This window comes from Homo sapiens, chromosome 16 (assembly GCF_000001405.40).
Source record: "Homo sapiens chromosome 16, GRCh38.p14 Primary Assembly".
In the NCBI taxonomy this organism is placed as follows: domain Eukaryota; kingdom Metazoa; phylum Chordata; class Mammalia; order Primates; family Hominidae; genus Homo; species Homo sapiens.
This window is the reverse complement of record NC_000016.10, coordinates 14,992,212-15,018,480: the sequence shown is the minus strand read 5'-3', so window position 1 is coordinate 15,018,480 and position 26,269 is coordinate 14,992,212. Positions and strand designations below refer to the sequence as shown.

The 26,269-nt window shown below is 40.9% G+C and overlaps 1 protein-coding gene and 1 non-coding gene across 24 annotated transcripts in view, besides 3 other annotated features; one reads left to right on the top strand and one right to left on the bottom strand.

Moving 5' to 3' along the window:
- The window catches only part of PDXDC1 (pyridoxal dependent decarboxylase domain containing 1), a 178,484-nt gene that overhangs the window by 134,738 nt on the left and 17,477 nt on the right, over positions 1-26,269 (bottom strand). For 12 of the 23 annotated variants that reach the window (XM_024450194.2, XM_017023065.2, XM_024450195.2 and 9 more), the window contains 10 exons: positions 20,655-20,728; positions 20,076-20,141; positions 16,625-16,705; positions 14,148-14,294; positions 11,898-12,087; positions 9,634-9,702; positions 8,722-8,800; positions 2,268-2,352; positions 1,313-1,361; positions 1,059-1,160 (listed from right to left, as the gene is read on the bottom strand). In XM_024450194.2, coding sequence (XP_024305962.1) covers positions 1,059-1,160; positions 1,313-1,361; positions 2,268-2,352; positions 8,722-8,800; positions 9,634-9,702; positions 11,898-12,087; positions 14,148-14,294; positions 16,625-16,705; positions 20,076-20,141; positions 20,655-20,704 — 918 coding nt within the window. In that variant the 5' untranslated portion in view covers positions 20,705-20,728. The remainder of the gene's footprint in view (positions 1-1,058; positions 1,161-1,312; positions 1,362-2,267; positions 2,353-8,721; positions 8,801-9,633; positions 9,703-11,897; positions 12,088-14,147; positions 14,295-16,624; positions 16,706-20,075; positions 20,142-20,654; positions 20,729-26,269) is intronic. The other 11 variants (XM_047433790.1, XM_047433788.1, XM_006720865.3 and 8 more) reach the window with 5 other exon arrangements.
- Positions 1,574-2,073: an enhancer, noted in NCBI's record as "H3K27ac hESC enhancer chr16:15110265-15110764 (GRCh37/hg19 assembly coordinates)". NCBI's record gives its function as "activates a minimal SCP1, AML or CMV promoter by ChIP-STARR-seq in naive H9 embryonic stem cells {active_cell/tissue: H9 hESC(naive)}" and the evidence as "EXISTENCE:reporter gene assay evidence [ECO:0000049][PMID:30033119]".
- Positions 2,074-2,575: an enhancer, noted in NCBI's record as "H3K27ac hESC enhancer chr16:15109763-15110264 (GRCh37/hg19 assembly coordinates)". NCBI's record gives its function as "activates a minimal SCP1, AML or CMV promoter by ChIP-STARR-seq in primed H9 embryonic stem cells {active_cell/tissue: H9 hESC(primed)}" and the evidence as "EXISTENCE:reporter gene assay evidence [ECO:0000049][PMID:30033119]".
- Positions 5,366-5,471: a silencer, noted in NCBI's record as "fragment chr16:15106867-15106972 (GRCh37/hg19 assembly coordinates)". NCBI's record gives its function as "represses an EF-1alpha promoter that drives an FKBP-Casp9 reporter gene in an ReSE screen in HepG2 liver carcinoma cells {active_cell/tissue: HepG2}" and the evidence as "EXISTENCE:reporter gene assay evidence [ECO:0000049][PMID:32094911]".
- MIR1972-1 (microRNA 1972-1) lies at positions 8,084-8,160 on the top strand. The gene has a single exon (NR_036054.1). It is a non-coding gene; the product is annotated as a microRNA 1972-1 (primary transcript).

Sequence of the window (26,269 nt, the reverse complement as noted above, 5' to 3'; positions counted from 1 at the left end):
ATCACTTAAACCTTATTTTGCACGCTGACCTATATTATCAAGAACCACATTATTATTATTATTTTTTGTGACAGGTTTCGTTTTCATTCTGTCGCCCAGGCTGCAGTGCAGTGGTGTGATCATAGCTCACTGCAGCCTTGATCTCCAGGGCTCAATCAGCCCTCCCACATTAGCCTCATGAGTAGCTGGGACTACAGGCTCACACCACCATGCCCAGCTAATTCTTTGTTGTTGTTTTTTCTTATAGAGATGAGGTTTCACCATGTTGCCCAGGCTGGTCTCAAACTCCTAGGCTCAAGCGATCTGCCTGCCTCAACCTTCCAAAGTGCTGGGATTACAGGCATGAGCCACCATGCCTGGCCCACAACTACGATTAAAAAAAAAAAAAAATGTGGCCAGGTGTGATGGCTCATGCCTGTAATCCCAGCACTTTGGGAGGCCGAGGCAGGCAGATCACCTGAGATCGCGAGTTCAACATGACCAACTTGGTGAAACACTGCCTCTACTAAAAATACAAAATAAGCCGGGCGTGGTGGCGCATGCCTGTAATCCCAGCTACTTGGGAGGCTGAGGCAAGAGAATCACTTGAACCCAGGAGGTGGAGGTTGCAGTGAGCCAAGATCATCTCACCATTGCACTCCAGCCTGGGTGACAGAGCGAGACTCCATATCAAAAAAAAAAAAAAAAAGTTAAAACCTATTGGGCAATGTGGATCAGGAGGCTTAAAACTCCCCCACTCAGTCATTCCACATCTGGGAACCTATTCTAAGGAAATAATTAGAAACACAGAAAGACGTTCACTGCTTCATTATTTCAGTAACAAAACTCTGAAAACATCCTATAAGTTCATAAATGGAGAATAATTAAATTGTGACAGAATATTATACAATCATAAAATGTCATTAAAAAAAGTCTCACAAGTTTCTCTTTAAAAAAATGAAATAGAAGTGAAATTATGGGTATTTTTCACTTTTTCCTGTATTTTTCTGGATTTTGCCCCCAAAGCCAATAATGTGTATTAGCCACACCCACTCCCTCCCCAGTGAGTGGAAACTTACCAAGGCAGGGTCATCGTGTTTATACAGTGTCACCGCAGGAACAGCTGGCAAACCCAGCCACGGGCCAGGAGTCATCGTCATGCTATCACATTTGGCTGCAGCCTACCAAAACAAGAACAACTCTTTGTTAGATTATCAGAATACACAAACCTAACACCCTCCTCCATTCATAAAAACTGTGAAGAGCCATGAGGGACTGAGTGACTTTAAATTCATTCTTAAAAACACCAATATTCAGTAAATCAACAACATACCAGCACTGATGAGGAGACATAACCCAGAGCCAATGTTGCCAGATTCACACTGGAAGAAAAAACACCAGTCCAAGAACTAATTATTTAATGTTGCTTACTCACCATGTACTTAAAAAAATAAAGGCTGTGCTGTTGCAAGTTGACACTTAAGTATATTTTTAATGTTATTAGCTTTCATTAACAGCAACAGAAGGTGTGCTTTATACATATGAAGGAAAATCCTGAAAATGCACTTTAATAAAAATGTGTCTCAGGAACTATCCCCGCTCATTTAATATAATGGGAGTATTCTTCTCTTTCATGGATCTTATTTTCCAGTTATCATTCTTTACTTAGGGATCAAAAAGAAACCTCCCTGTATGATGTGGTGGATATGGGCTACTCTGGCTGCCCACGTCCGTTCCCCCTGCTTCTCTTAATGGCCCTACAATAGCCTTCCAGGGCGCCATCTCCATTTCTTCCAGCAGAACATGAGCTTTGTGGGGAGGAGACACCACTATCTGCTCCAGAGGAGAGCAAAGAACCTCAACTATCAGAGGATTACTTCTCCCTGGCCACAGTGGCTGGTTCAATACGAGACTTCTGTTAGGACTTCCAGCTGACCACGAAGCTGGAAAGAAGGCTGGAGTTTCTGCAGCTACTTTGCACTGTAACAGGAAGATCTGTCCACAGATAGAGGAAACCAAGCCCAGTGCCTGTGACTGGGGGAGCAGAGGTGGGAGTAACACACTGGATCCTGGTTGATGTCGTGCCTGAGGCAGTCATAACACTGCTCTTTGTAGTTATGTGAGCCAGTAAGATCTCTTTGGGCTTAAGCCAATTTGGGTTATTTTGTGATCTGTGACCCAAAGAGCCCTTCGTGATAAATGTCACCAAAGTGAGAGCCTGGATGTCCAGTCCTCATAAGGACTCTGTGCAGGCCCGAATGGAGCCACCAGCCTCACCGCCGGCTTACCCCTCCACATGAAGCCATATGCCATACTGCTCACAGAGTTCTTTCAATCTCCCAATCTTGTCTGTGTGTCCTACTGCTGCCGTTCCTAGGATAAAACACATCAGGGCATTAAAAGGAACAAATGTTTTCTAAGGCTTTATACCTTAAACACTTTTATACACATTATCGCCCTAGGAGGGAAGTGACTTATTATATCCCTATTTTATTGAGATTTTCTTTGTGGAAGGACTTAAAATCAGTGTTTGTGAGTTGACTTATTACAAGCTTTGAAGAGTATGTAATCTCTATTACATGTATCTAATTGTGTCATTGAATTCTTTTATATACTTATTTTCTATCTACTTGATCTGCTGACTCATGAGAAATATATTCAAATCTCCCACCAAGATTGTGGTTTGTCAATATATACTTGTGTTACATCAGACTTTTCCTTTAGCTTTCCTTTATATATTTTAAAGTTATGTTCACAAGCATTCATAACTGTTTTTTTTTTTTTTTGAGACGGAGTCTCACACTGTCGCCCAGGCTAGAGTGCAGTGGCATGATCTCAACTCTGCAACCTCCACCTCCCAGGTTCAAGCAATTCTCCTTGCCTCAGCCTCCCAAGTAGGTGGGATTACAGGCGGTGGCCACCACGCCCGGCTAATTTTTTTGTATTTTTAGTAGAGACGGGGTTTCACTACGTTGGCCAGGCTGGTCTCGAACTCCTGACCTCGTGATCCACCTGCCTCGGCCTTCCAAAGTGCTGGGATTATAAGCATGAGCCACCGTGCCCAGCAGGTATAACTGTTATTTCTTTTAGGAGATTACATCTTTCATCAATATGAAGTCTATTTTATCCCACACTAATATGGCTATGGTACTTTCATTTTGTCAGCATTTGTCCAAGATAAACTTTTCCACCTTTTTATTTTATTGTCACTTCCTGGATTATTTTGATTTAGATATGCCCTTTATAAAAATCATATAGGTGGGCTGGGCACAGTGGCTCACATCTGTAATCCCAGCACTCTGGGAGGCCCAGGCGGGTGGATCACAAGGTCAGGAGATGGAGACCATCCTGGCTAACACGGTGAAATCCCGTCTCTACTAAAAATACAAAAACAAAATTAGCCGGGTGTAGTGGTGGGCGCCTATAGTCCCAGGTACTCGCGGGGCCGAGGCGGGAGAATGGCGTGAACCTGGGAGGCAGAGCTTGTAGTGAGCCGAGATCGTGCCACTGCACTCCAGCCTGGGCAACAAAGCAAGACTCCAGCTCAAAAAACAAACAAACAAAACATATAGATGAATTTGTTTTGTTTCCACCCAGGTTCCTTGTAATACAGAACATGCATTCTGAAGCCAGCTTAAGCATATTAAGCACTTTCAGCCGCTCCCTTGGTAATTGATTGCACTACAGATTTTGCTGGGGAGATCCCTTTTCAGAGAGAGCTTAGTTAAAACGTTGAGTCAGGCATTCCCCCAACCGTCCTAAATTTCCAGTTAGCAGTAAGCCAACTAAAAAGATTTCAAACACTCACCAACGGCCTCAACAAACACAGCTAAAGAAAGTAGTTCTTTTGTAAGGTCTATGCCAGGAAAAGGGCTGAAAACTTTTTCCCCTCATACCTAAATCTACCTCAAATTAAAAAAAAAAAATCTTAACAGACACATTTAGTTTAGCTGAAACAAGATCAAATGTCAATGCATGGGCTGTGCCACAGGCTCTTCCAGCAAAATAAAAGCGTACTGCTGTGTTAGTGCCTGGATCGCATGCAGATTCTCTTTTCGTATTTCTTGGCAATGTCTGGTGACTAACCCTTGACATGTGTCTGCTGACATCTGCAACATAATCACACTGGCAAGTCACTCAGTCACATGCAAACTGCAGCCCCTCCAGTTTATCATGTGATTGAATATGGGTGAATTTGTGTTTTTAAACAATAAGGCAGGAAGTGATGGTTTTCCTGTTGGCAATAAAGTGAATATTTATGTGGTTTTTCTATTTTGTCTTTTTTTTTTTTTTTTGAGACAGAGTCTCACCCTGTTGCCCAGGCCGGAGTGCAGCAGCGCAATCTCGGCTCACTGCAATCTCAGCCTCCTGGGTTCAAGCTATTCTCCTGCCTCGGCCTCCTAAGTAGCTGGGATTACAGGTGCCTGCCACCACAACCAGCTAATTTTTATATTTTTAGTAGAGACAGGGTTTCGCCATTTTGGCCAGGCTGGTCTTGAACTCCTGACCTCAGGTGATCTTCCCGCCTTGGCCTCTCAAAGTGCTGGAATTACATGCATGAGCCACCGCACCCGGCCTAAATAAGCAGTTTTATTGTAGTATGATTTTTTTTTTTTTTTTTTTTTTTGAGACAGAGACCCTTTCTGTCGCCCAGGCTACAGTGCGGTGGTGCGATCTTGGCTCACTGCAACCTCCACCTCCCAGGTTCAAGCGATTTTCCTGCCTCAGCCTCCCAAGTAGCTGGGACTACAGGTGCACACCACCACACCTGGCTAATTTTTGCATTTTTAGTAGAGATGGGGTTTTACCACATTGGTCAGGCTGGTCTTGAACTCCTGACCTTGTGATCTGCCTGCCTCAGCCTCCCAAAGTGCTGGGACTACAGGCATGAGCTCTCATGCTCGGCCTATTGTAGTATGATTTACATGCAACAAAACTCACTCATGTAAGTATACGGTCCAATGAGTTTTGACAAATATATAGAGCATGTAACCATCAACACAATCAAGATTCAGAATACTTCCATCAACCCCCAAATCCCATCAACCCCAATATAATTACCCTTTCCCTGACTCCTCACTGGCCCTGGAAAATCCTGATCTGCTTCTGTCACTGTAGTTTTTTGCCTTTTTTTTTTTTTTTCTTTTTTTTTTGAGATAGGGTCTCACTCTGTCGCCCAGGCTGAAGTGCAGTAGCACAATCTCGGCTCATTGCAAGCTCCGCCTCCCGGGTTCAAGCCATTCTCCTGCCTCAGCCTCTCAAGTAGCTGGGACTACAGGTGCCCACCACCACACCTGGCAAGTTTTATTTATTTACTTATTTATTTTTTACAGAAACAGAGTCTCACTCTGTCACCAAGGCTGGAGTGCAGTGGTGCGATCTCACCTCACTGCAACCTCTGCCTCCCGAGTTCATGCCATTCTCCTGCCTCGGCCTCCCAAGTAGCTAGGACTACAGGTGCCCACCACCACACCCAGCTATTTTTTTGTATTTTTAGTGGAAACGGGGTTTCACCATGTTAGCCAGGATGTCTTGATCTCCTGACCTCGTAATCTGCCCGCCTCGGCCTCCCAAAGTGCTGGGATTACAGGCTTGAGTCACTGTGCCTGGCCTGACATTATATTTTAAAGAATTTTTTTTTTTTTTTTTTAAGAAAGGATCTGGCTCTGTCACCCAGGCTGGGGTATGGTAGCACAATCTTGGCTCACTGCAACCTCTCTCTCCTGGGTTCAAGCCAACCTCCCACCAAAGCCTCTGGAGTAGCTGGGACTACAGGTACACACCACCACACCTGGCTAATGTTTAGTATTTTTTGTAGAGATTTCCTAGGGGTTTCGCCATGTTGCCCAGGCTGGTCTCGAACACCTGAGGGCAATTGATCTCGCAGTCTCAGCCTTCCCAAGTGTTGGGATTACAAGTGTGAGCCACCTGTAATTTCTCCATTCTAACAGACATGTAGTAATGTCTCATGGTGATCTTAATTTGCATTTCACTAATGACTAATGATGTTAAACATCTTTTCAAGTGCTATACATTTTCATTTTCTTTGATGAAGTATCTGCTCAAATCTGTTGTTCATTTAAAAAATTGTATTGTGGGCCGGGCACAGTGGCTCACACCTGTAATCCCAGCACTTTGGGAGGCCAAGGCAGGCAGATCACCTAAGGTCAGGAGTTCAAGACCAGCCTGGCCAACACGGTGAAACTCCATCTCCACTAAAAATACAAAAAACTAGCTAGGTGTGGTGGCACATGCCTGTAATCCCAGGTACTCGGGAGGCTAAGGCAGAAGAATCACTGGAACCCGGGAGGCAGAGGTTGCAGTGAGCCAAGATCGCACCACTGCACTCTAGTCTGGGCAACAGAATGAGACTCCATCTCCAAAAAAAAAAAAAATTGTATTGCTTGTGTCCTTATTGAGTTGTAACAGTTCTTTATATATTTTAGATACAAGTTCTTTGTCAAACAAATGTTTTGTAGCTTCTGGGGAAAAGAATGAAAAAGAAATTTTAAAAGAAGACAGGACTGGGACAGTGGCTGGCTGAGTGTGGCGGCTCACGCCTGTAATCCCATCACTTTGGGAGGCCAAGGCAGGTGGACCACCTGAGGTCAGGAGTTTGAGACCAGCCTGGCCAACATGGCGAAATCTCGTCTCTACTAAAAATACAAAAATTAGCCCGGCACGGTGGCGTGCGCCTGTAATCCCAGCTACTCGGGAGGCTGAGGCAGGCGAATCGCTTGAACCTGGGAGGCGGAGGTTGCAGTGAGCCAAGGTCGCACCACTGCACTCCAGCCTGGGCAGCACAGCAAAACTCCATCTCAAAAACATAAAAAATAAAAATAGAAAAAGACAAAAAAAAAAAAAAAAAAAGAAAAAAATGTTTTGCAAATATTTCTCCCAGTCTGTAACTTGCCTTTCATCTTCTTAATAGGGGCTTTCAAACAGCTAATGCTTTTAATTTTTGATAAAGTACAATTTATGGTTCACATATTTTGTATCCTAAGAAATGTAACCTAAGGTCACAAAGATCTCCTGTATTTTCTTTGAGACATTTTATTGTCTTAGATCTATGCTTAGGTTGATGAACCATTTATAGTTAATATTTATATATACAGAGAATAAGATAAGGGTTAAGATTCAGTTTTTTTCCATATGGATATCCAAGCTCTAAGACCACTGATGGAAAAAGATGGTCCTTTCTCCCTCGAATTACTCAGGCATCTGTAAAAACCTGAAGTGTCCATATACTTCACATGAGTCTATTTCTGAATTCTCTATTTTCTTTGGTTAATCTCACACAGTCTTACTTGCTACTTTACAGAAGTCTTGAAGTATGACAAGGTAAGTCTTCCAATTTTGTTCTTTTTCAAAATCCCTTGGGCTGTTCCTAGATCCCTTGTATTTCTATATAAACTTTAGAATTAGCTCATCAAGTTCTATTAAGAAATTGTAGCCTGCTGAGATTTTAAGATGGATCAAGTTGAATCTACAGATTAGTTTGGGAAGAACTGACTTAATACTTAGTCTTCCAACCCGTGTGTATGGCATATCGTTCTTGGGTCTTCTTGAATTTCTCTCAGTAACATTCTTAGTTCTCAATGTACAGATCTTGCATATATTTTGTTAAATTTATCCATAAATTTTTCATCTTTTTTGATCCTATTATAAATGACATTTAAAATTCAATTTCCAATTCTTCTTTGCTAGTATGTAAAAATCCAGAAAATGGTTTAGATTTGATCATTAGTTCCAGTAGCTTTTCTTTAGTTTTCTATCTATACAATCATGCCTGCAAACAAAGTTTTATTTCTTCCTTTCTAATCTGTCAGTTATTTTTTTTGCCTTATTGCACTGTCTTAGATTTCAAGTATGATGCTGAATGAGATAAATGGAGCAGCAAGTGGTAGTTGCTCTGCCGCCTATAAGGTAGATATTTAAGTGTGACATCTTATGAATTTTCTTGTTTAATTTTTACAACAATCTTACAACGTCAGTACAATTATTTTTATTTATTTATTGAGATGGGGTCTTGCTATGTTACCCAGACTGGTATTGAACTTCTGAGCTTAAGCCAACATCTTGCTTGTCTCCTGAGTAGAGGGACTATAGGCATGTGCCACCACACCTGGCTTAAATGTGTCATTTAAAAATTCAGGCCAGGCACAGTGGCTCATGCCTGTAATCCCAGCAATTTGGGAGGCTGAGGCAGGCGGATCACCTGAGGTCAGGAGTTCGAGACCAGCCTGGCCAACATAGTGAAACCCTGTCTCTACTAAAAATACAAGAAATTAGCCAGATGTGGTGGCATGCACCTGTAATCCCAGCAATTCAGGAGGTTGAGGCAGGAGAAACACTTGAACCCGGGAGGCAGAGATTGCAGTGAGGTGAGATTGTGCTACTGCACTCCAGCCTGGGCAACAGAGTGAGACTCTATCTCAAAAAAATAAAATAAAATTCAGTTTAGAACAGGGAAAAGAAGTACATGAAGGAGAAGATAGAGAAGCATTTACCATCTAAATGAAAAAGTATACACACACATAAAATAACTTCCAAAACAAACCAACGATTAAAGAAAAATCTAACGAGCCAACCTTACTATTACAGTTTTTGCTACAATGTGGATATGGACTATCTTAAACATGTGGTACACACACATTTCTTAAGACTTTATCTTTTATAGGCTGAGGACGTAGCCTCGCTCCTATATATTCAAAATGGTAGATTCAGCATCATGCTACCTACCTGCATTTGCGACAAGCAACAGGGGCAGTCTTCCTCGCTCTATATCATCTTTAATCAGTTTCTCCAGGAAGGCAACATCCTGGAACCAAAACAAATCATTAAAAAATGAGGTGCCCAGTATAAAAGCTATAAAATGAAAAATTATGACTTACAAAAGAAGCAGATAACTCTCAAAAGTAATGTCAAATCAATTCTTACTCTTGACAATTTTTCTGTTTTCTCTCATCATAGATGTGAAAATCAAATAGTTTTCCTTGAAGACTAGAAAAATCAGTTAAACAAAATTAAAGGTAAAAACTGTACATATGCAGGAACATTTCTTTGATTTTAAACATTTACATTTAAATGAAATGTTCTCTTAACTCTCCTAAAACAGCCAAGAATGTATCTCTACTATTACTCACTGATGTACCTGAACTAGAAAATAAAACTACCTTGACAAAAGAAATAAAAAACTCTAAAATCCATCCCTTCCTTTTCCTTCTGGAATCATTAAGGAGAGATTTATCACCTGCATGTCTGAAAATAAGCAGAACTCAATTCCATGATGACAATGAAGAACCTCATTTTCAAAATCTGCCCATTCATAAATCCAGGCAACAGTGCTAACTCATTAAAAGTAGGAGCTTCAGAAGAAATTTCTGGTGCTTAATTGAGCTGCCATGTTTCTACTTAAAGCAGGTGATACAGTAATTACAAGACTCCTTAAAAGCCAGGTGCTCCTGACCTATATACCAACCAACCTTCATGGACATTCACATATTAACAGAAGCATATATTACACAATGTAAGGATCCAAGCAATACATGAGTAAGTTACTAATTATCTGGAGGCCAGCAAAAAGAACTTCATTTGAAAGGCAGTTTCAAAACACAATCCCACATGATTTTACAAACCAAAAGTAGAACTCACCATCTGATGCTGGGATCCAAACACAGTGTTACAGGGTACACGGCACAAGCAGGGGAAGGGCAAGCCGAGCTGCAGGAAGAAACATATGACTTGACAAGAAAGCTCTCTGCACCATTCACTTCAGATTGTGAAAGGCTGTGGCTCTAAGACAAGACACGATTATTCTTCTAAGAAATCTCTCTCCTTAGGAACTCTTAATATTATAAATTGATGTTAAAGTACATTTAGAAAGCCAAGCCGAAAAAAAAAAAAGGGTGAATTTCCAAGTGCCTTATAAGAGGATATAATGTAAAATTTTCTAAATGATTCAAGTAATTATCTTTGGTATATTCTAGAATATACCAGAAACACTTTGACAAACACAGAAACAACTGGGTCGTGAGCATTTTAGTGGGGGTAATTTTGGATTCTTTCTCCAAGCATTACTGGTAAATAACACCAGCTAAAGGCATTCAAAGAACAGTATCTTATTTATGGGTTCACCCACCCCTAAAAAGTAATAAATATGGATTAGCAGATGCACATTTCTCAAGAGAAGTGAAGTCAGTGTTATGCAGGAGACAGTGATTGTCAACTTAATTTTATATTCTTCATGTTTAGCCTCCAAGTCCTTGAGGAGTTTACAGTTTTAGGAATTGTAAACAGTTGCAGCATATTGTTCTGTATGACTAAGACTTGGTAGCATTCAGAGACCAAAAATTTAATAAGCACATTTTTCTCCTTAAAGGATTAAAAATTATGAATGTGACACCCAAGTAAAACAAATCCTCAAAAAAAATACAGGTATTAAAAGTGAAAATGCCTAGCCCCCTACCCTATAAGCCACCAATCCACCCCGTTAACAGTTTAATACATAACCTTTCAGATATTTTCTAGGTATAAATTTACGTATTTTTCTAGGTACAAAAACATAGGTATAAAGGATACACACACTTTAAAAAACGTGAACATAACCATCTTATATATGCTGCTCTGCCAGCTGCCATTCCCAACAGAACACTCTTACACATCTTTTGAAGGTTAGACTGTTGTCCCCAAACAGCCTTGTGTCTGCAAGAGCCTGGCTTGCAGTAGACACTAAGTAATTCATTTCACGTTTCAGAGGATTATTATTAAACTCCCCATTTTGTACACCCCTCAAGAAGAGGACATAATTTCTTAACACCAGTGATCACAGCTCAGAATCAATTTAAAAGTCACTAAGTGTCTCCCATACATCCCCCTGGGACTCCTACAGCTTACAAAAGAGGAACCCTCCAACCCTATGGTTTTGCTTTCAAACGTTCTTGGCAAAGACGGTTAACAATGTCTTATCTCGATGTAGTCCTCCCAGTTGGGCTAGAAGCACCATGAACTTTAAAAATAGTCATGCTCGGCTGGGCGCAGTGGCTCACACCTGTAATCCCAGCACTTTGGGAGGCTGAGGTGGGCAGATCACGAGGCCAGGAGATCGACACCATCCTGGCTAACACGGTGAAACCCCATCTCTACTAAAAAAAATACAAAAAAATTATCTGGGCGTGGTGGCGGGCACCTGTAGTCCCAGCTACTTGGGAGGCTGAGGCAGGAGAATGGCATGAATCCGGGAGGCGGAGCTTGCAGTGAGCCGAGATCACGCCACTGCACTCCGGCCTGGGCGACAGAGCAAGACTCTGTCTCAAAAAAAAAAAAAAAAAAAAAAAAAAAAAAAGTCATGCTCTTTGATCCAGCAATTCTAGACTGACTCTGAAAATCCATCTGAGGACCATAACCCTAAATAAAATACAGGAAGAGCTTTATGCACAGAGAAGTCCTTAACAGCACTACACAAAGAACATTACCTGAAAATGGTCACAGAAAGCAAGAGAATGCAAACACTCTTAGTTGTCCAAAAGGGCAACAGTTAATTACTATATATTCACTTGAAGGAATACCATGAAGACATTAAAAATAAACTATACTTTGAAAAATTATTATTAAAATGATATATTCCTGTTTTAACAATAAGTGAAAAGAGCCAGATACAACCATATAAACACAAACACACCCCCTTCGATTAAAGTCTGGGAAAAAAGAGAAAATGTTGACTGTGGATGCCCCTGGGTAATCTATCCCATATTCCTTATTTCTAAATTCAGTAATTTTTACAAATATGACAAAAGCATATAAGACCATCTTTCTTTTCACTCAGCAAGAACAGCAACTAGACAAACGGGTCAACTTTAAAACTTTCAGAACAAAATAAGACATTATTTCTTTAAAATAGCCACCTGATACCACATTACCTGATTACAAAGGTATTGGCCCAGGCCAGGTCTAGCAGCAGCACTAAGATATATGACAGGCTTCTTGTTATATAACACATTGAAGCCATCCACTACGAAGTCTTCATATCGAGAATGAATGGCAAGCCTACATATCTTTGCAAGTCCTTCTCTTTCCTCTTCGTGGAAATAAGCACACCCATTTTCATATCTGTTAAGAGATACATATTAATATGCTCTTATTTCTAGTTAAGGATTGTATAAGTCAACCTTATAATCATGGAGACAATTCTTTTCTCAAGCTAGGAATTGTCACTTTTATCAGGCAGAGAGGACAGGAATGTGAAACATCCTCATCATAGATGGCTGACACCTCATTACAGCTGAGGTTACCAAGCAGCGAGACAATAACCCTCCATCCATACCCAATTCCATAAAGAGCAGAAACTATGAAAACAAGTAGAGACCAGGAATTCTCAGATATAAAAAGCCTGAAGATCATGGTTCTGGCTTATTATGAACTAAGGCCAGCACTGGATAACACAGGCATAGTTCATAGCAGAGTTTCAGCCCTAAAACATCCAAAGTAAATAAAACTGTCAAAAATGCTAGTTAGAGGCTGGGTGTGGTGGCTCACGCCTGTAATCTCAGCACTTTGGGAGGCCAAGGCGGGTGGATCACCTGACCAGGAGTTTTGAGACTAGCCTAGCTAACATGGTGAAACAACTGTCTCTACTAATTGCGAGGTGTGGTGGTGAGTGCCTGTAGTCCCAGCTACTCAGGAGACTGAGGCAGGAGAATCGCTTGAACCCAGGAGGTGGAGGGTGCAGTGAGCCGAGATTGTGCCACTGCACTCCAGCCTGGGTGACAGAGTAAGACTCCATCTCAAAAAAATAAAAAAGCTAGTCAGGCTAGCTTTTGGTTTTACTATAATCTGCTGAGGCTCCATCTCCTAGAGGAGGATGGACAATTTCAATTACAGGCAGTAGATTTTTACTAGAACAACAGAACACTGCTCCTTTAATAAAGTTGGGCAAACTTATACTCCTGCTTGGCCAAGTTCTTTCCCAACACTGAAAGTCAGGGTCTCTCAAGATAAATGTCTCAAGTTAGGCAAACATTCCTTCTCCATAAAAGTAACAGCATAAACCCAATGCCACTAGTCCTATGTCTCCTACTGAATCCTTCACCTGTTGTAATTCCTTAGTACTGCCAGGATTATCACAGAATAAAACAAATTTCAGTTTCATAGCACATTTTCATCTTCCTTATGACAGAGTTTTCTTTTTTTTTTTTTTTTGAGACAGAGTCTCACTCTGTCGCCCAGGCTGGAGTGCAGTGCCTCAGCGTCCAGAGGAGCTGGGACTACAGGTGCTCACTACCACGCCCGGCTAATTTTTTTGTATTTTTAGTAGAGACAGGGTTTCACCATGTTAGCCAGAATGGTCTCGATCTCCTCACCTTGTGATCCGCCCACCTCAGCCTCCCAAAGTGCTGGGATTACAGGCGTGAGCCACCGTGCCTGGCCTCAGAGTTTTCTTTCTAATAAAAACACAAGCTAATATTTTCAAAGCACAGCTGGCCCTCTGAACCTATGGGTTCTGCATCTGTGGATTCAACCAAGCATGAGTAAAAAATCTTCAGAAATTTAAAAAGATGGGTGCCTCTGTACTGAATATCTACAGACTTTTTTTCCTTGTCATTATTCCCTAAACAATACAGTGTAACAACTATTTACACAGCATTTACATCGTATTAGGTATTATATGTAATCAAGAGATTAAAGTATATGGGAAGATGTGCCTCAGTTACATGAAAATACTGTGCTATTTTATATAAGGGATTTGAGCATCCATGAATTTTTTTATCCATAGGGTGAGGATGGGAGGTCAAGAACCAATCCCCCAAGGACACCCAAGGATAAGGGACAACTGTATTTGAATCCAGATCATTGCTCTATCTTCTACCGACATGTGCCAATTAGATACCCCACAAATAAATAACTGCTGACCCTATCAAACACATATGTGCTTCTATTCTCCACCCTTCACATGTATTAGTCCATTAGCTCATTTAATCCTCACAACGCTTCTATGAAATAGGTATTAATACTATCCCCATCTAACAGATGATGAAACAGGCATTGAGAGGTTAAACACCCCTTTCAAGGAGAAGGAAATCTGAACCCAAGTAGTACAGCTCCAGAAAAAAGATCTTTCAGTCTACACCCGACTCATAAAAGTCTTCACTGGAAACTCATCATGTCTTTACCTGAAAATTCTGCATAGCCATAAGGTGGTATCTGAAAGTATCCTAGTTGTAAGTTTTCTCAGCTTCTCTTTGTCCAGAGTTGAAATATAAGCTCCCAGACTATGTCCCAACAAAGCCATATGACCTTGTTCTCCAATATTTTGGATTCTGTTAAGCAAAATTAAAGTATTAGAGTCAAACCATAAAAAAGGACATAGAACTTAGAGACACAGAATTCCACAGAAATATCTGTCAGACTCGAAATCTACTTAATGGCCCAGAAGGCAAATCAATGCATAAACAGTAGTGATAGTTTGGTGAGAATTTTTTCTATTTTTTGAGATGGAGAAAAAAATATATTTTTTTTTCTGAGATGGAGTCTCCCTCTTGATGCCCAAGCTGGGGTGCAGTGGTGCGATCTCAGCTCACTACAACCTCCACCTCCTGGGTTCACGTGATTCTCCTGTCTCAGCCTCCCGAGTAGCTGGAATTACAGGCGCGCACCACCAAGCCCGGCTAATTTTTTGTATTTTTAGTAGAGACGGGGTTTCACCATGTTGGCCAGGCTGCTCTTGAACTCCTGACTTCAGGTGATTCACCTGCCTCGGCCTCCCAAAGTGCTGGGATTACAGGCATGAGCCACTACTCCTGGCCAGAAAAATATTTTTATAATTTGAGTTCCAGGAGATAAATAGCCCTTTTTAAATTGAGTACCTACAAACTGTTTTAAAATAATTTCCTATTAAAGTATTTTAAAAATTAAATACCAGCCTTAAGAATTGTGGAGGGTAGAGCTAAGGTAAAATGAGCTGAAAGCATTTTTTAAAGAACTAAATCCTGGCCAGGCGCAGTGGCTCATGCCTGTAATCCCAGCACTTTGGGAGGCCAAGGCGGGCGGATCACGAGGTCAGGAGATTGAGACCATCCTGGCTAACATGGTGAAACCCCATCTCTACTAAAAATACAAAAAATTAGCCGGGCCTGGTGGTGGGCACCTGTAATCCCAGCTACTCAGGAGGCTGAGGCAGGAGAATGGAGTGAACCCGGGAGGCAGAGCTTGAAGTGAGCCGAAATGGCACCACTGCACTCCAGCCTGGGCAATAGAGTAAGACTCCATCTCAAAAAAAAAAAAAAAAAAGAATTAAATCTCAGGTCTATGCATCAAATAAGAATTATTTATTGCAATAATACAGCAAATTCATGGGGGACTAGGTATTATTTTATATATAATTAAAATTGATTATATAAAATGTTTTATATAGAATTAAAACTAATTTTCCTTATAAAGAATAACTGTAAAAAAGAAGGAAAAAGTTTACAATTGTTAACTGTGAATAATAAGAAAAAGACAAATCACCTAATAGGATCATGGGCAACAGACAGTTCCTAGAAATATAAATGGGTCTTAAAACATACAAAAAGACACGTCACTTGGTTCATAATTTAAAAAACCTGCAAATTCGAATTATGCTGAAACACCATTTCTCACTTATCAGATTTCTCATCAGAATATCACTTATCAATGATCCTTCAGTCTGATAACGCCTTTGCAGGTGAAAAGTGTGGAAATAAAGTACTCTCATACATTGCTGGTGGGACTGCTAAATGCCGCAACTCCATGGAGGGAAATTTGGCAGGATCTATCAAAATTACAAAAGCACACACTGTCTGAGACAGCAACTCCACTTTCAGGACTTTGTCCTCCAGACACCTGCTTCTATGAGAAGTGACACATGTCGAAAGTTGTTTGCTGCAGCAATGTTTGTAACAGTGCAACATGACAGGGGACCAATAAAATAAAATATGGTTCATCTGTTCAAAGTAAAACACATAGCTCTGACAAAGGAGAAAGTTCCTGTGCATTAATATGCAGTGAACTCCAAGACATAAGTGAAAAAATGCAAGATGCACAGCATATGCATAGTAATTATGTATTAGAGAGGGTGGGCATAGACATTTTGCTGGTGTATAATACATATAAAATCTCTCTGGAAGAATACACAAGAAACTGGTAATGTCTGTCTCTAGAGAAGAAAACATGGTAGGGAGATAGAGGTAGGAAGGAAAATTCCCTTTGTATATCATTTTTCATTGTCTGAATTTTGAACCAAGAGAATAATTTTACTTATTTCAAAACATTAAATTTAAAATAATTGAAGAGAAAACTAACTAAATACCTAATGAATACAACTACAGCAATTCTTAGGAAGCAGAAGCACAGCAGCAGAAAGACATCCGACACTCACTCTTCAGTCCTTCTGCCAGCGCCTCTCTAAGGCATGATACCATAAAAACTATGGGATCTAATTTCAATAAATGCCTTCATTTCACAAAATATATATTAATATAAATGTCTTTCTGAAAATAAAAAGGATTATTTTAATATCATATGTAACTCAATGAAATATAGCTTCTTATTTGAGCAACTTGTCAGAGCGCAATCACTACTGAAATCAAGAACACATACACTTGAAAAGAGAAGCTGCCAGGTTCATTACCTGGGGCTCTGGGGCTCCTCATCTTCATCTCCATGCATGAGATTCTGAACTAACTGGAGGATGCTCACCATATCTTGCCCACTGCAGAATAAAAAGAGTTGATGGGCTGATGGGAACAGCACACATCCCCCGCCACTCTCCCGCTACTTCCCTCATTCAACTAGCGTTGCTTCAAGTTTTTTTTTTCTTTCTTAAGCAACTATAAGAGAAAGAACGTGGTATATAGTTTATGCTTTTTAAAAAACAAAGCTCAAATTATAAACTGAATTCCGATATAAATTTACTTGTGGTTAAATAAATCTTCTACCTAATTATGAGTTTCATTTTAATAAATGTCACCAGTCTTTTTATTTTTATTTATTTATTTTGAGACAGGGTCTCACTTTGTCACCCAAGCTGGAGGGAAGTGGCATAATCTGGGCTCACTGCAACCTCTGCCTCCCGGGTTTAAGCGATCCTCCTGCCTCAGCCTCCTGAGTAGCTGAGATTACAAGCTTGCGCCACCACGCTCGGCTAATTTTTGTATTTTTAGTAGAGATGGGGTTTCACCATGTTGGCCAGACTGGTCTTCAACTCCTGGCTTCAAGTGATCCACCCTCCTCGGCCTCCCAAAGTGCTGGGATTACAGGCATGAGCCACCACGCCCAGCCGTTTTTTTATTTTTGGTAGAAACAGGGTTTTGCCATGTTGCCCAGCCTGGTCTCAAACCACCAAGCTCAAGCAATCCTCCTGCCTCAGCCTCCAATAGTGCTGGGATTACAGGCCTGAGCCACCTTGCCCAGCCACCAGTCTTGCTCTAGCAACATTTCTATACATTTCATTTGAATCTTGGAGTACAAGACAGAGAATATTTAATAAGCATGTAATAAGAGCAAAAAGGCCTTATAATATGTACTTATAATATATAAGTGTATTATATACTATACATTATATAAAATATAAAATATATTATATAAAATATAATATATAATCATCCTTAGTATAGTATAATGCTAGACAGTCACAGAACACTCCAATGCCACTGGTATATCTAATTTTCCTCCATAGGGATCTTGTCCGTTTGGACTAACAGCCTCTAACAATGCAAGCTTCATTTATTACCAGCTCTTCCCCAAGCTGGGAACCTTGAGATCTGCTTAGAGTATAAAAACATTTTACTTCTATCCAAGATGTGTTGCTATGAAATGCTCATTACATGAGGAGATGGAAAGTTACGAAAAGAATTCGAACGGCTGAAGTAGCAAGCAATGGCAAGGCAACTTGCAACAGGAATAACGCAGGGCTATTCGTCTGTTAATGAGAATAGACTAAAAAGAGGTTTCCTCTTTCAACAAAGGAAGCGCCATCAAAACAGTGTCCCCAAACCAATTGTCCCCAAGGTGCTGCCCTTCAAGTGAGAGGGGCTCTGGGCCTTGGACACTGTAGAGATCAGAGCAGGCAGGGGCCCTTGAGGCACACTGGCTGCCTGCCACATGACCTCGAGCAAGCTATTCCAACTTGCCAAGCCGGACGTTATGGATTTGGGAGGCTTCAGACAGTGAAGGTATGGCACTTAGCTGTGCCTGGCATGTTACTAGTCTTGAATGCTGGGTGGTAGCACTCCTAAGTGTGAATCCTCCTAGTCAGTGGCTTAAGGCTGAGAATTACAGATGCTGCTGGGAGTATCTCCCCTGGGAAAACTTCCGTGGAATTAGGAGACTAAACCTTAAAACCTTTGGTTTCCATCAGTAGGCCTGGAATGAGGAGATTTTATAGGGCCTGCCTCCTGTTCTGAGCTGAGAATGCACTTCACACCTAGCTTCACATCAGCATTATTCATGCTACGAATAGGAGTGACTTTTAAAGTATTAGTATCTCAGCGTGTTATTGGCACACTGTGATCCTTCCTCCATACTTTTCTTTTGCAACCTGGTTCAATTTATATTCAAGTCAAAGGATATTTAAGGGAGTTGTACTGTTTACTTATGTGCAGTTTCCTGGTTATAACAGGAAAAAAAAAAAAGTTTGTCTCAGGGAAGCTGGGCTGGGATACTAATCCCAGATTAACTGCTAATGTCTTGTGAAAATTTTAGTCAGCTACTTACTTTTTTGCTATTTTTCCTCCTACTCAAACATGACAGATTTGCTTCAGTTGCCAAAAAATAAGTAATTTGACATTTTCCTTTCATTTACATTATGAAAACAATAAATCTTATCAAATTAAAATACCTCTTAGAATAAAACTCAGTCTACCAAATAGATGACAGGTTTCAAGAGTGAACTAAGTATGACACACCAGTTATAATGATGAATTTGTATATCACTTTTATTTTATTTGATAGGGTCTCGCCATGTTGTTCAGGGTGGCCTCGAACTCCTTGACTCAAGCCATCCTCCTGCCTCAGGCTCCCAAGCAGCTGGGACTACAAGTGTGCACCACGGTGCCTAGCTCCATGTATCACTTTTGACTCATGAGGTTGTATTAAATTGTTGGTTTTCTAAAAAATTTTTGGCCAGGTGCGGTGGCTTATGCCTGTAGTCCCAGCACTTTGAGAGGCTAAGGCAGGCGGATCACCTGAGGTCAGGAGATGGAGACCGTCCTGGCCAACATGGTGAAACCCCGTCTCTACTAAAAATACAAAAATTAGCTGGGCGTGGTGGTGGGTGCCTATAATCCCAGCCACTCGGGAGGCTGAGGCAGGAGAATCACTTGAACCTGGGAGGCAGAGGTTGCAGTGAGCCGAGATCACACCACTGCACTTCAGCCTGGCGACAGAGCGAGACTCTGTCTCAAAATTAGAGAGTGTCTCTATCACTCAGGCTGGAGTGCAGTGGTACAATCACAGATCGCTGTAACCTTGAACTCCTGGGCTCAAGTGATCCTCTGTCCTTGGCCTCCCAAAGTGCTGGGATTACAGATGTGACCCACTGTACTTAGCATCTATTAAATTCCAAATGGGAGAGGGAGAGAAGCCAGCAGGTGCAGCAATATCACCAACCAGCCAACGACACTTCAGTTTTCTAATGTTATACTGCACATAAGTCTATTTAAATTTGCTATGTGTTCATTAAAACTAAAACCATAAATCAATGATGATAAGACACTGGTTTAAGAAAAATGTAGGCCGGGCACAGTGGCTCACACCTGTAATCCCAGCACTTTGGGAGGCTGAGGTGGGCAGATCACCTGAGGTGAAGGTCAGGAGTTAGAAACCAGCCTGGCCAACATGGCAAAATCCCATCTCTACTGAAAATACAAAAATTAGCCAGATATGGTGGTGCACGCCTGTAATCCCAGCTACTCGGGAGGCTGAGGCACAAGAAAGAACTGCTTGAACCCGGGAGGCGGAGGTTGCAGCGAGCCCAGATTGTGCCACTGCACACCATCCTGGGCAACAGAGCACGACTCCATCTCAGAAACAAACAAAAATTTACACCTTAACTAAAGGTATGGATCCTCAGTGCCACCTACCTGCCCTGGAGTGGGCCTGGAATATCTCCGGATATGAGCTTCTTTCCATTTTCCTCTTCTGTTCTTCTAATTTAAAGAAAAGAAAAAGCTGTTCATTTGTTTCATCATACCAAATTTCTAACTCCTGAATATGCAAACATGACCATGTTGCCTATAACCTCCCAGTGACTGAGGCAGGATTTCAAACACATTTATCACATCTCCCTGCCTCCAGTTTCAGGTATCGTTTGAATTTCTGGAAAAGACAAGAATATGCAACAAAAAAGTTCCACCCACTTCTTGTTTACTTGGTGCTCTATATGACCTGAATATATAATAAGTATTTATAGAGTCAAATCAATATATTAAGTAAATGAAACTCTTAATAGACAGAATTAAATAGTATAAGTCTTTCCTCTCAATTTCAAAATCCTTTAATTACAAGGCACCTTTTACCCAAGACAAATACCAATTTTCAAGTCAGCCAAAGCTGTGTGTGACACTGTGAAGCCAAGAGGCACCTTTAACAGAAAGGACCCAGAGCCACTGGCTTCACAGCAGGCTGAACTCGTTGAACAGGGTCACCTCTGTCCTACTCACCTCTGACTGTCCTCCAGCATCTTCACTGCCTCCTTCAAGTTTTTTCCCATTTCAGCTAACGTGGGGTCTGCTATCTGGGAAACAAAAAAAAAAAGAAAGAAATTTTAATAATCCTCTATTACCTCTATAACACAATTCACCCAGAAAAATTAAGTGCATAATTTCTTCTGGATTTACTGTGAAATACATGATTTTAAAACTTGCAATAGTACAAAAGTATAACAGAAAAAGTAAAAATCTTCCAGCCCCACTTCCTAGAGGAAGCCGCTGTTTTTATTTTTATTTTTTGAGTTGGAGTCTTACTCTGTTGCCCAGACTAGAGTGCAATGGCATGACCTTGCTCACTGCAACCTCTGCCTCCTGGGTTCAAGTGATTCTCTTGCCTCAGCCTCCCAAGTAGCTGGGATTACAGGCACACACCACCATGCCCAGCTAATTTTTGTATTTTTAGTAGAGACGGGGGGGTTTCACCATGTTGGCCATGCTAGTCTCGAACTCTTGACCTCAAGTGATCTGCCCGCCTTGGCTTCCCAAAGTGCTGGGATTGCAGGTGTGAGCCACCGTGCCTGGCCTCCTTAAGTTCCTTTTGAATTTTAGTGCCATGTGTACACCTATCTCCCATCCAAAAAGTAAACAAAATAGAATTTAAATTTTTCTGCAGAATTATAATTTTTTCACCATTCATTCTGGGAAGAACCAGGTGAGGCCAAAACCAAGGACCCTACCCTTCTTCACTTGGTACCACCTTCCCACTTGACAAGTTACAAGTCCCATGGGGGTAACCACAAGGTCCCCTCAGCCTGGCCATTGTACACAGCCCCAGGGTACCGGCAACGCATGACCTACACTCCAAGGCAACTGGACAACTTGGTCTTTGGTAAGATCACTTATGATAACAAAGTGAGTCAGCTTCGTTTCAAACAAGCAATGTGGCAGTGATACAAAGACAAGCTATTTTGACAAATATTATTTTTGAGGCAGTCGCTCTGTTACACAGGCTGGGGTACAGTGGTTTGATCGTGGCTCACTGCAGCCTTGACCTCCAGGGATCAAGTGATCCTCCCACCTCAGCCTCCTGAGTACCTGGGAATACAAGTGCTCGCCACCATGCCTGGCTAATTTTCAAAATTTTTTTGTAGATACAAGGTCTCATTATGCTGCACAGGCTGATCTCAAACTCCTGAGCTCAAGTTATCCTTCTGCTGGGATTACAGGCTGAGCCACTGTGCCCGAACTTTTTGCAGAATTAAAACATACGCATTCCTTTCCTTTTCCTTTCTCTATTCTTAATCTCTGTAGTTATGTTTAGGGAGAAAATTCTTGTTGACTTCAATCTCTATGTAGTATGAGTTGTGTTATAACAATAAATTATATATTATATATTATATTACATATAATACATATAATATCATATATAAGTTATAGCTCTTTTGTTCCCCTCTTACTCTTCTAAGTGTGCTGCTTAAAGGAAGAGCTGTGTTTACCTTTTCCTATTGCTCACTGTATCTAGCAATATGTTACAGCATGGCATACAATACGTACGTATTTAAAACTGCATTGCCTCCTCAAAATTGTTTTTAAGAAATTCCACTCCATTTATCAATATAAGATTCAGAAATTGTTACATTCTAGAAGGGACCTAAGGGATCTAGTCCAGGGATTTTCCAGCTGTGTTCTCCTGAGCTTTAAGGTCCCTGGGAGGACTCTGAGAAGGAAGGGTTAGGTAAGCAGTTGGGGCTTCTAACTCCCTAGCAGATCAGCTCTGTTTTGTATAACAGGGTTTTGAGTAAAGTAGTAAAGTTTTTATTTGTAAAAAGTTTCATTGAATGATAAAGGGGATATCACCACCAATCCCACAGAAATACAAACTACCATCACAGAATACTATAAACACCTCTACGCAAATACACTAGAAAATCTAGAAGAAATGGATACATTCCTCAACACATACACCCTCCCAAGACTAAACCAGGAAGAAGTTGAATCTCTGAATAGACCAATAACAGGCTCTGAAATTGTGGCAATAATTAAGAGCTTACCAACCAAAAAAGGTCCGGGACCAGAGGGATTCACAGCCAAATTCTACCAGAGGTAAAAGGAGGAGCTGGTACCATTCCTTCTGAAACTATTCCAATCAATAGAAAAAGAGGAAATCCTCCCTAACTCATTTTATGAGGCCAACATTATTCTGATACCAAAGCCTGGCAGAGACACAACAAAAAAAGAGAATTTTAGACCAATATCCCTGATGAACATCGATGCAAAAATCCTCAATAAAACACTGGCAAACTGAATCCAGCAGCACATGAAAAAGCTTATCCAGCATGATCAAGTGGGCTTCATCCCTGGGATGCAAGGCTGGTTCAACATACGCAAATCAATAAATGTAATCCAGCATATAAACAGAACCAACAACAAAAACCATACGATTATCTCAATACATGCAGAACGGCCTTTGACAAAATTCAACAACCCTTCATGCTAAAAACTCTCAATAAACTGGGTATTGACGGACCATATCTCAAAATAATAAGAGCTATCTATGACAAACCCACAGCCAATATCATACTGAATGGGCAAAAACTGGAAGCATTCCCTTTGAAAACTGGCACAAGACAGGGATGCCCTCTTCTCACCACTCCTATTCAACACGGTGTGGGAAGTTCTGGCCAGGGCAATGAGGCAGGAGAAGGAAATAAAGGGTATTCAATTAGGAAAAGAGGAAGTCAAATTGTCCCTGTTTGCAGATGACATGATTGTATATCTAGAAAACCCCATCGTCTCAGCCCAAAATCTCCTTAAACTGATAGGCAACTTCAGCAAAGTCTCAGGATACAGAATCAATGTGCAAAAATCACAAGCATTCTTATACACCAATAACAGACAAACAGAGAGCCAAATCATGAGTGAACTCCCATTCACAATTGCTTCAAAGAGAATAAAATACCTAGGAATCCAACTTACAAGGGATGTGAACGACCTCTTCAAGGAAAACTACAAACCACTGCTCAATGAAATAAAAGAGGATACAAACAAATGGAAGAACATTCCACACTCATGGGTAGGAAGAATCAATATCGTGAAAACGGCCACACTGCCCAAGGTAATTTATAGATTCAATGCCATCCCCATCAACCTACCAATGACTTTCTTCACAGAATTGGAAAAAACTACTTTAAAGTTCATATGGAACCAAAAAAGAGCCCACATTGCCAAGTCACTCCTAAGCCAGAAAAACAAAGCCGGAGGCATCATGCTACCTGACTTCAAACTATACTACAAGGCTACAGTAACCAAAACAGCATGGTACTGGTACCAATACAGAGATATAGACCAATGGAACACAATAGAGCCCTCAGAAATAATGCCGCATATCTACAACTATCTGATCTTTGGCAAACCTGACAAAAACAAGAAATGGGGAAAGGATTCCCTTGTTAATAAATGGTGCTGGGAAAACTGGCCAGCCATATGTAGAAAGCTGAAACTGGATCCCTTCCTTACATCTTATACAAAAATTAATTCAAGATGGATTAAAGACTTAAATGTTAGACCTAAAACCATAAAAACCCTAGAAGAAAACCTAGGCAATACCATTCAGGACACAGGCATGGGCAAGGACTTCATGTATAAACCACCAAAAGCAATGGCAACAAAAGCCAAAACTGACAAATGGGATCTAATTAAACTAAAGAGCTTCTGCAAAGCAAAAGAAACTACCATCAGAGTGAACAGGCAATCTACAGAATGGGAGAAAATTTTTGCAGTCTACTCACCTGACAAAGGGCTAATATCCAGAATCTACAATGAACTCAAACAAATTTACAAGAAAAAAACAACCCCATCAAAAAGTGGGCGAAGGATATGAACAGACACTTCTCAAAAGAAGACATTTATGCAGCCAAAAGACACATGAAAAAATGCTCATCACCACTGGCCATCAGAGAAATGCAAATCAAAACCACAATGAGATACCATCTCACACCAGTTAGAATGGCAATCATTAAAAAGTCAGGAAACAACAGGTGCTGGAGAGGATGTGGAGAAATAGGAACACTTTTACACTGTTGGCGGGACTCTAAACTAGTTCAACCATTGTGGAAGTCAGTGTGGCGATTCCTCAGGGATCTAGAACTACAAATACCATTTGATCCAGCCATCCCATTACTGGGTATATACCCAAAGGATTATAAATCATGCCGCTATAAAGACACATGCACACGTATGTTTATTGTGGCACTATTCACAATAGCAAAGACTTGGAACCAACCCAAATGTCCATCAATGATAGACTGGATTAAGAAAATGTGGCACATATACACCATGGAATACTATGCAGCCATAAAAAATGGTGAGTTCATGTCCTTTGTAGGGACATGGATGAAGTTTGAAACCATCATTCTCAGCAAACTATCTCAAGGACAAAACACCAAACACCGCGTGTTCTCACTCATAGGTGGGAAATGAACAATGAGAATACATGGACACAGGAAGGGGAACATCATACACTGCTGCTTGTTGTGGGGTGGGGGGAGGGAGGAGGGATAGCATTAGGAGATATAACTAATGTTAAATGAAGAGTTAATGGGTGCGGCACACCAACATGGCACATGTATACATATGTAACAAACCTGCATGTTGTGCACACGTACCCTAAAAATTAAAGTATAATTTTAAAAAATTAAAAAAAAAATTTTTTTTTAAAGTGTCATTGAAAAGAAAAAAAAAATTCTTTGGGAGGCCAAGGCAGAAGAATCACTTGAGGCCAGGAGTTTCAGATCAGCTTGGGCAACATAGTGAGAAATAAATTAGCTGGGTGTGGTGGTGCACACCTGTAGACCTAGCTACTTGGGAGGCAGAGGTAGGAGGATCGCTTGAGCCTGGGAGTTTGAGGCTACAGTAAGCTATGATTGTGTCACTGCGCTCCAGCCTGGAACAGAGTAAAACCCTGTCTCAAAAAAAGAAAAAAAAAAAAAAGTATAGCATAAAAACGTCTGATTCTGGTCTAACATTTTGGAGGTGAGGAAACTAAGATGCAGAGAGGTTAAGCGACTTGCCTATGGCCATAGAGCTAATAAACGACAATGAGGTGCCAAAACCTAGGGTCCCTGACTCCTGTTTCTGACCTCTATTATATCACACTGGCTCCCACAAGGGCTTACAAGGTAATCATTTAGCCATGACCAAATTTTTAGATAAAATAGACAAATTTTAAAACAAGTGTTTTCAATAAAATTCACCACTTTAACTATGAGAAGGCTCAGAAAGCACTCGAAAAAGGCCTCAGTGCAGACAGTGAAGAGAATGAGGAATATGATGGTCAAGAGAATTTATCTTCACCCCTGAGTCAGCTGGTGATGCTCCTGACGATCCTCACTGCTGTGACACTCCCGTGTGTCCCCTACCACCTAGCCAAATGATAAACAGTTTGGCTTGATTCACACCTTCATGCTCCCAACGACCATAGTGTCTGAAATATCCTCATGACTTTTATCTATCTCTCTCCTAGCACCTATTCAATTACAAGTCAATAATTCCAGGAAGCCTTTACAGATAAAGCCACTTTTGCTCTTTCCCATCCCCTCTAATGATACTGATGCCTTTTTTCCTAAACC